This window comes from Homo sapiens, chromosome 6, assembly GCF_000001405.40.
Source record: "Homo sapiens chromosome 6, GRCh38.p14 Primary Assembly".
Taxonomy (NCBI): domain Eukaryota; kingdom Metazoa; phylum Chordata; class Mammalia; order Primates; family Hominidae; genus Homo; species Homo sapiens.
The window spans coordinates 100,083,395-100,094,084 of record NC_000006.12 but is presented as its reverse complement, the minus strand read 5'-3'; the positions used below and the strand labels follow the sequence as shown (position 1 = coordinate 100,094,084).

At 37.7% G+C, this 10,690-nt stretch overlaps 1 pseudogene; it reads left to right on the top strand.

The window, feature by feature from the left end:
- Positions 272–805, top strand: LOC100420742 (tetratricopeptide repeat domain 22 pseudogene; annotated as a pseudogene).

Below are 10,690 nucleotides of genomic sequence, written 5' to 3'. Positions count from 1 at the left end.
ACAGAAATGAGATTTTTCTGTTTTTCAGAAACAGATATTTACTAAAAAGTGTAAAGAACACATTGACTTACAATTTCTATAAATTCAGTACGTACCAATTAACAATGTTAAAATGTAATGTAAAAATTGGAAAAAAACTATTTGTAACGTGTTTAATAATAAATATTAATTGAAGCCCAAGTCGTTCTGAATGCACAGCAAGGTTGGCAAGAATAATAATGGCAGAACAGTTCACGGGGGTCTTGAGCTTCAGCTGAGCTGGGCTCAATATGCCCAAAGGGGCTTTCTCAGGAAGGTGGAAGGATGGTGCCAAAGGGGGAAGCAGATCCAAATGGAAGAGAAAAGGGGCTGGTACTTCACTATGGCAATGCTCTTCATCAGGCTAGATGGCATCTTCCTGGAGCTGGGCAGAGAGAAGCAGAAAAGGCTGCCCACCTTCAACTGCATGCTGGCCCTGCTCCAGCAAGTGCTCAAGTCTGAGGACCTCCCCCACTACCGAGCCCTGGCCTGGTGTTGCAACAGAATGCTGCTGGAGAGGAAGGACCCCTTATCCATCACCACCATGGGCATCCATACTGTGAGTACTCGGAGACCGACCCTCTGGACTGCTTTGGCAAGGCCTTCGAGATCGCCAAGAACCAACCTCCCATCCTGTATCACCCGGCCAAAATATTCCACTTAGGAAAGCAGGATATGGCCACTGGAACCTGCAACATGGCCCTGAATGTCCTACAAGATCCAGAGCTCAACTGGCAGACATACTGCACAAGGGCTGTGACAGGGTCTCATTCTGTTGCCCAACTGGAGTGCAGCAGCCTGATCATGGCTCACTGCAGCCTAGACCTCCTAAGCTAAAGTGATCCTCCCGCTTCAGCCCCCCAAGTAACTTGGGCTACAGGAGCACACCACCAAGACTGGCTAAATTTTTTGTTTGTAAAGATGGGGTCTCACTATGTTGCCCGGGCTGGTCTCAGGCTCTTAGGCTCAAGCAATCCTCCCACCTCGGCTTCCCAAAGTGCTGGGATTACAGGTGTGAGTCACCACGCCCGGCCCTGTAAGGTTTTTGAGTGAAAGAATGAAGGAGCCTCCACTCGCTGCAGGAATCCCTTCTAGAATGCCTGGTCAATGAGCCTCTAGCCTCTTCTGGATTGGCATGGGTGGAGTCAGACTGACTGGAGTTGAAATCTGGCCTCTCTGTCTTGTGGAACTTGCAGCAAGCCACTTATCCCTCCAAACCTCAGTTCCGAAATCTGTAAGATGTAGATAATAACATCCACCTTAATATGTTGTCAGTGGACTCAGTGAGGTAGCATCTGAAGCACAGTGCCTTGGACATATGAGGTGCTTCTGAAAGGCAGTAGAGATTGTTTAATATAGTGGATCAGAGCTCTGGCTTTGAACACAGACAGCCTTGGTTCAAATCCCACATCACCACTTATGTGCTATGGGACCTTTGGCAAAATACTGTTGTCCAAATTTTGAGCCTCAGTTTCTTCATCTGTAGACTGGAGGTGATAGTATGTCTAATAGAGTTGTTATGATAATTAAATTAGATTCTGTATGATAAACTCAGCTTCAAGCATACAGTAAGAGCTCATAAGTAGCTGACTGCTACTATTAGATATGTTTTCTAATTAACTAACCGTCTCTTGAGGCAGTCCACTGCAGTCATTCAGCTCTGCAAGTTACACATGTAGGTGATAGCTACCTCCCTCTACCTTCTGGCACTGGCCCCAGATCTGCCCTCTGAAACCACCACAGAGCCCATTTGCTTGGAGCACAGACCTGGGGCTCTGAGTTTACTTTGCTGCGAGCTAAAGAGTTCCCCCATCCCCTCCTTTACTCTACTACAGTTCACATGACCTAGTGGCAAATCTGCTCCTAGTCTTGGTCTCAATGGCTTAATTATTTTGCCAGCAAGTATGAGGCAAGAGTGAAATCCTTCACTGTAGTTGATGTGGTTATTATTATAGATAATAATAAAATTAACCATAATAGTAAATAATGATTTTTTTTTTTTTTTGAGACGGAGTCTCACTCTGTCACCCAGGCTGGAGTGCAGTGGCGTGATCTCGGCTCACTGCAAGCTCTGCCTCCCGGGTTCATGCCATTCTCCTGCTTCAGCCTCCCGAGTAGCTGGGACGACAGGCGCCCGCCACTGTGCCTGGCTAATTTTTTTGCATTTTTAGTAGAGACAGGGTTTCACTGTGTTAGCCAGGATGGTCTCGATCTCCTGACCTTGTGATCTACCCGCCTAGGCCTCCCAATGTGCTGGGATTACAGGCGTGAGCCACTGCGCCCGCCCAAATAATAAAATATTTCTAAAAAATAAGTATTAATTGAATGCCTACTGTGTGTGGACATTGTTTTAGTTACTGAGTATAGAGAGAAGAAACAGATAGGTCCCTACCCTTATGAAACTTAATTCTAAAAGTAGGGTTAATACCCTTAAAATCATTAATAAAGAAGAGTAGCAGAGTAGCAACACACTTTCACTACTTCTATTCAACATAGTACTGGCAGGCCTAGCCAGAGCAGTCACACAAGAGAAATAAAAAAAGGGCGTCCAGATTGGACGAGTGAAAGTCAAATAATCTCTGTTTGCCAGTGATATAATCTTATACCTAGAAAACTCTAAAGACTGCTCCAAAAGACTCCTAGATTTGCTAAATGAATTTATTAATAGTAAAGTCTCATGTTACAAAATCAGTGTACACAAATCTGTAGCACTTCTATACACCAATAACAATGAAACAGAGACTCAAATCAAGAAGTCAATCCCATTAACAAAAGCTGTAAAAGAAATAAAATACTCAGGAATATGCTTAACCAAGGAGGTGAAAAAATCTCTATAAGGAGAACTACAAAACTCTCATTAAGGAAATTGTAGATGACACAAACAAAAGGAAAAACATCCCATGCTCATGGATTGGAAGAAGCAATATTGTGAAAATAACCATATTGCCCAAAGCGATCTAGATTCAAAGCAATTCCTATCAAAATACCAATGTCATTTTTCACAGAATTAGAAAAAACAATCCTAAAATTCACATGGAACCAAAAAAGATCCTGAATAAAAAAAGTAATCCTAAGTAAAAAGAACCAATCTAGAGGCATCACATTACCTGACTTCAAATTATACTACAAGGTGATGGTAACGAAAACAGCATGGTGCTGGTATAATGGACCAATGGAACATACCGGAGAACCTAGAAATAAAGCCAAATACCTACAACCAACTGATCTTCAACAAAGCAGACAAAAACATATACTGTGGAAAAAATACTCTATTCAATAAATGGTGCTGAGAAAATTGGAGAGCCACATGCAGAAGAGTGAAACTAGATCCTAGTCTCTCACCATATACAAAAATTAACTCAAGGTGGACTGAAGACTTAAATCTAAGACCTGAAAACCTTAAAGTTTTAGAGCATAATATAGGGAAAATTCTTCTGGACAGTGGCCTATGCAGAGAATCTGTGACTAAGACTCCAAAAACAAATGCAACAAAAACAAAAATAAATAAATGAAACTTAACTAAACTAAAAAGTTTCTGCACTGCCATCTGATCTTTGACAAAGTTGATAAAAACAAGCAATGGGAAAAGGACTTCATATTCAGTAAATAGTGCTGGGATAACTGGCTAGAAATATGCAGAAGGTTGAAACTGGACTCCTTTATTATACCATATACAAAAATTAATGTAAATTAGATTAAAGACTTAAATGTGAAGCCCAAAACTATAAAAATCCCAGAAGACAACCTAGGCAATACCATTCTTGTCATAGGTATGGGCAAAGATTTCGTGACAAAAATGCTAAAACTAATTACAATCAAAGCAAAAATTGATAAATGGAATCTAATTAGACTAAAGAGCTTCTGCACAGCAAAAGAAACTATCGACAGAATAAACAGATAACCTACAGAATGGGAGAAAATCTTTGCAAACTATACATCTGACAAAGATCTAATATCCAGCATCTAGGAAATTAAACAAATTTACAAGAAAAAAATATAAACAACCCCATTGAAAAGTGGGCAAAGGACATGAACAGACACTTTTCAAAAAAAGACAAACATGCATGCAGCCAACAAGCATATGAAAAAAAGCTGAATATCACTCAGCATTAGAGAAATACAAATCAAAACCACAATAAGATACCATCTCACACCAGTCAGAATGGCTTTTATTTAAAACAAAACAAAACAAAACAATACAAAAAACCAGATGCTAGTGAGGTTTTGGAGAAAAAGGAACACTTATACACCGTTGGTAGGAGTGTAAATTAGTTCAACCATTGTGGAAAACAGGGTGGCCATTCCTCAAAGACCTAAAAACAGAACTACCATTTGACCCAGCAATACCATTACTGGTTATATACCCAAAGGAATGTACATCATTCTGTCATAAAGACACATGCATGTGTATATTCATTGCAGCACTACTCACAATTGCAAAGATATGGAATCAACCTAAATGCCCATCAGTGGTAGACTGGAATAATACAGAAAATGTGGTACATATACACCATGGAATACTATGAGGCCAAAACAAAAGAATGAGACTATGTCTTTTGCAGGAACGTGGATGGAGCTGGAGGCAATTATCCTTAGCAAACGAATGCAGGAACAGAAAACCAAATACCGCATGTTCTCACTTACAAGCAGGAACTGAATGATGAGAACACATGCACACATTGAGGGAAACAACACATACTCGGGCCTGTTGGAGGGTAGAGAGTGGGAGAAGGGAGAGCATCAGGAAAAATAACTACTGAGTATTAGGCTTAATGTCTGAGTGATGAAATAATCTGTGCAACAAACCCCCATGACTCAAGTTTACCTATGTAGCAAACTGCACATGTACCCCTGAACTTAAAAGTTTACAAAAAGATTTTTAAAAGAATGGTTACATGTAGAGTTGGAGTTGCTGTGTAAACAATCATACATACTCTACTGGTCAGAGCACAACTGGGCCCAGAAATGGATGGATGTAAAACTGTGCGTACAGGACAGTTACCATCTCTCAAAGTTGGACCTAAGCAACCAACAATAAGGGATCATATAATAAAATAAAATTTACATGTAATGAAACATTCAGTCATTCAACATGAAGATTAGATTGCTATTTATGAAAAGGAAATATGGTTATAAGTGAATACTATCATTATGTGACTAGGAGACTTTGCATATCTAGGTTTTTTGTTGTTGTTATGGTTTTTGTTTTTTTTGCGACAGAGTCTTGCTCTGTCGCCCAGGCTGGAATGCAGTGGCTTGATCTTGGCTCACCGCAACCTCTGCCTCCCAGGTTCAAGTGTTTCTCCTGCCTCAGCCTCCTGAGTAGCTGGGACTACAGGCGCGTGCCACTGTGCCTGGTTAATTTTTGTATTTGTAGTAGAGACCGGGTTTTGCTGGGTGCGGTGGCTCACGCCCATAATCCCAGCACTTTGGGAGGCCAAGGCAGGTGCATATCTAGGTTTTAATAATAATTTATAATTTCTATACTTTTTAGGCTGTATATCTACCACACTAAAGCTCCGTAAATCCAATAATGAACCAGAGACTCCATTCAACTATTGGAATCTTAGCAACAAAATGCTTACAGATAGAAACTTACTGGTCTTGTTATTCTGCTTCTGCTCTCTGGCTAAATCCTATCAAACCTTTTATGTGCAGACACGGGTAAAATATACTAGAATTAGAAGGTATATTTTCAAGCCTTTTCCTCTAGAAAATAATGCAAACCACAATTATTTAACATTTGTTAGCTCCTAAAAATAGAGTCTTACTACTGATGTTTCAAATAGTCATTAAAGATGTGGAAGCTATGAGTCATGCTTGGCAGTTAAATATTTTATTTGCTGCTAGAACTTGGATTATGTCTTTGTATTTCATCAGGTAAGCCAAATATGGCATCATGGGAACAGCTAATTCCCTCTGCTCTCCTCACTGCTGCTATTAAATGATGTTTTTCATAACTACACAAGTGCTAAGGTACTAAGTGAAGCAATTACAACTTTGTTTATATTGGGACTAAGATAATTTGGTAAACTTGGGACTTGCCTAACAGGGGTTACTAGTCTAAATGTTATTCAATTGGCAGATCAACTTAGTATTTTCTTCCCACAAAATTGATTTTTTATAAATTGATTTTTTTAAAAAAAAACTAAAAGATCTACCAATGGTATTGGTATTGCACAGGTAGTCTCAAATATTTAATTAACAAAAGCTCTTTTGAACCTAAAAAAGAGAGTTTCTATTGGACAAATAATAGTGTATTGCCTATGTCCACTTTTTAGCTAGAGAGTGCCACCTGATCTATGACAAGGCATTGGGTTTATGAAGGATGTAGTTTTTAATTATAGGATTGTATAGTTTACCCATCAAAAAAAGATAGATTTTTCTTCCATAACACCCAATTCTGCAAAAAAGAAGCTTAAAGCTGAAAAACCTAGTATGCTTAAGCCTAGCATGCTATCAACAAGCAAAATTCTCAAAAATACACAAATTTAAATTTTGACAATATATAAATTAATATGGTAAATTACTATCTAAAGCTTTTACTTCACCAGTGTTTTACAGTTTACAAAGAGCTTTATGTAGTTCCTACTTGAGATAATTCATAAAACAACTGTTGCAGTTCAGGAGGCTAAGTGCCCTACTCTAGACATTCAAATAGTAAACAACAAGGTTCAATTCAAATCCCGTTCTCTGGGTACATTTTTTGGTAATATTCTCAGTATAGTCAGTCATCTTTCTATGTACTATGTTTTATTTGGATTAACTTTAACATGAGCACAACTTTGGTAAAATGATACATAAATCTTCCATACCCATCACAACTTTAGGCATTAAGGCAAAGAGTGCAGATGAAACATCACTGACATTTACTTGGGCACTCTCCACTCTTTCCTGTCATTGGAGGTGGCCTCACAGTCTTTCACAACACAAGTCTCCAAGCATCTACTATAAATTAGTTAGGTTTAAAATGCCAGAAGAAACCCAATTTTTTTCATTCCTGGAATAATGTTCTGTCAATAGAATGTTATTGCACGTGTTATTCCATACCGCTAATTCTTGATTACAAAATCATAAAAAATACCCAAGTGCTTCTGGAATTAGTAAATTTCCATAATTTTAATTATAGATTATCAGTAACTTTTAACTTTCTGATTTTTCCACTTCTCTCATTCTGTCACAAATTTGTCTTCCTTAAATCCATTTTTTTTTTTTTTTTTTTTTTTTTTTGAGACGGAGTCTCACTCTTTCGCCCAAGCTGGACTGCAGTGGCGCTATCCCGGCTCACTGCAAGCTCCGCCTCTTGGGTTCATGCCATTCTCCTGCCTCAGCCTCCCGAGTAGCTGGGATTACAGGCGCCCACCACCACGCCCGGCTAATTTTTTGTATTTTTAGTAGAGACGGGGTTTCACCGTGTTAGCCAGGATGGTCTCGATCTCCTGACCTCGTGATCCGCCCGCCTCGGCCTCCCAAAGTGCTGGGATTACAGGCGTGAGCCACCACGCCCGGCCAAATCCATTTTTACTAAAGTGCCTCTTTTTTAAAAGCTTCTTTGCTTTTTCAGTGACTACTTAATTAAGTCTAAACCCTTTGCTCTCACATCCAAGACCCACCACCATCTAGCCCAGTGTCTCTTTTCAGTCTCACATAATAAGAACACCATTCCTAGACAACTAGAACCACTCATTTCCTAATACACACTTCTTAACATCACCCTCTTTTCTTGATGAGCTCTGTCAGAGTCCTCTTTCCTTTCTTTAATCTTATTCCAACTTTGCTGGTCAAAATTTCTGCCAGTTTTCTAGATTGACCAACTGCTCTCTGAGTTTTAATTATCAGAGAGCTGTATAAGAATGGTTAAGTTACTTCACTTTCCATGCCTCAGATTCCTCATTTATAAAATGGGTACAAACAATAACTACTTTATGGGGTTGTTATGAATATTACATAAGCTACTCTATGGAAAGGTCTTAGAACAATGACTGAAACATGGTAAGTGTTATGCAAGCATTTGCTATTAGTTCATGATTATAATTTAAGAAGTTGGTCTTTTATTAAACTGTAGTACTATTTGGTATTATCTTGTGATAAGGTACTTATCACACTTGCTTTGATACATTAGCATATATATATTCTATGCTCTTTTTTAAATTTTAAGTTTCTTTAAGGAAGTTACAATGAATGTAACAAATTTTTGTATCAAAAAATCAATAATATAGTGTCTTGAATATCACTGGTGATTGAGAGATATTAATTGAACCCAATGTTTTGACAAAAGAATGCTATCTATTGAAATAATTTAATGTGTATTACATTTTCAAAATTCCTTGCATTTTTCAATCTTACACACAGTAAGTTATTTGCTAGAATCTCTGAGCAGGCAATGAACTTCAAAAGGATTGCAATTCACCTTGTTACTTCCAAACAAATGACCACTTCTCTTCATTTAATTGATCTCAAAGGACAAAAATACTTCAATAATTCTTTTTGGTCCATTCCAGTGTTTGTTTAGCTTAATTTTTTTCTAGCCAAATTCTGTTGATACAGTGAGTGTCTCCCAAAGATATTATCTTCTCAGTCTTTAATGCAAGTAAAGCAAGATTATTAGCTTCTTCTCAAAGGATCTATTTCTCTCATTTTTAAATCAACTTGAATCCCCTGCCCAGATTCACTCTCATTCCTGCACTGAAAAGAGAATATAGAAACCAGTGCCAAGAATCAAGGATGAATGATTTTCTGGATATGTTGAAATTTTATCTTGTATTTTTCATAAAGGCTGCATTCTTGCCTAGTGCTCACGGTGATTGATAAGACTCTCAGAACTTGGCTGCATATGTGTGGATTTTCTCCATCCCAGAGCGGCCTAAGTTAGTCCCTAAATGAACTGTTTTGCAACATGGTCTATAAGCCATTCTCAAATATATCAAGGAAATTCTAGAAGGTGTTATGTGCCCCAGCTAATTTAGTGTCATGAGCAAATGTGATGAAATCTCAATTTCTTTATCCAGGTCAGAGCTATTAAATGAAATCAGCCCTTGAGAGGCTCCTGAGGAGCAATTCTTAATGGGTAATCTTTCAGCTTGTTATGCACCCACTACCAGTGGGTAGGTCCAGACTTAATCTTTTTAGCTTATAGACAAAACTGCCAAGAGGTGAGTAGGTGGTGGTGGTGAAGGAGAATCTAAAGGCTTGTTAAAATCAATCAGGGTATGCCTATTACTTTTCCTTGGTCTAAACACAGCTCACCTCTCATATAGCACGAATGCAATATTTTATAACATGACTCATTGCTCAAAGAACCATGTCTCTCGTATATAATGCTTTGTTTTTATTTACATCACTGGAGTTTATCATTGGATCATTTTTAATAATTCCAAAGCTTTTTATGTTACTTTTTAGGTTGTCCTAGTCTAGAAAACTATTTTAAGAATGCTCCTATACACTGCAACAAAGACTAAGAAGTCTACAAAATAATGGGTGAACTTGTGGTTGAAAGCCTAAAGTGATAAATGATAACCACAAAAATCCAACATGTGAAGAAATACTCTGTTCTTTTAGGAAAGGGAAAGGCAGTAAGGGAAGATTAGATCTAAAGTTTTCCCAAAGGCTTACGTCCTGAAAATTGGAAAAAGACCAAACTCTGGAAACTGTTAAGATTTTTTAAAAGGGATTAGGCCTGAAAGCAGGCTGAGGGATAACGACTCTAAACTGAAAGATGGATTCTGCCCAATTGATATCAGATGTCTGAAGTTAAACACCAAGTAATCTTTCCATTTTACTTTTCATGATAGTGACAGGCAAATCAGAATCTATTTTTGATGCTCTTTCATGGCAGATATTGGAGAATCTATCCTGCCTCTGTACATTTGGTGTTTATGACAGGTCATATTTTCTTTGAAAGCCATAGGAATTGAATATATACTAACCCAGGAAGTGGCATAAATGACCCAATAGAGATGTTACCAGTCCTCAAATTGTTTCTATGCCTTTGAACATCTGCCAAAAGAAGTTAAAAATATTTTAATACAGCTGCATTTTTACTTGAAATGAAAATAATGTATTGCTTTGCTCACTGTAAAGATTACAATTATTTACTGTTTAATAAAAAGATCAAAAAGGAAAATGACAAAAGTTAAAAATCACTTGGCAGCTTTCCACTCAACCACTTTTAGCTTGTTTGTATGCATCCTTCCATCTCTGTGCATACATAAGCACATATAAAATTGTGTTTCCAAGTTTCATATGTAGGATCGTATTATGCAATATATTTTCATTCCACAATATATTATGAGTGTTTAATGTCAAAAATACGTTTAAATGACTGCATAGAATTATATTGGATGTATGTACATTTAGGTTGATGGATATACAATGTTTGTAATGTTTTGTTATTATAAATAAAACTTCCATAAACAACTTTCAGTATACATATTGACAGATTGGTGCAGTTGTCTCTTGAAGATAAATTATTAGGTGTGGTGTTTCTGAGACAAAAAGACTATTCATTTATATTTTTGATACATATTACTTAACTGCCCCCCAGAAGAGCTTTTTCAGTTTACTCCCAAAACAATGCATGATCTACTTCATTTACTTTGCTAACACTGTTTACTGTTGCAAACACCAAGTTTCATCAACTTTTTCATTGTTGTCCACCTTAGTGAAAATGATA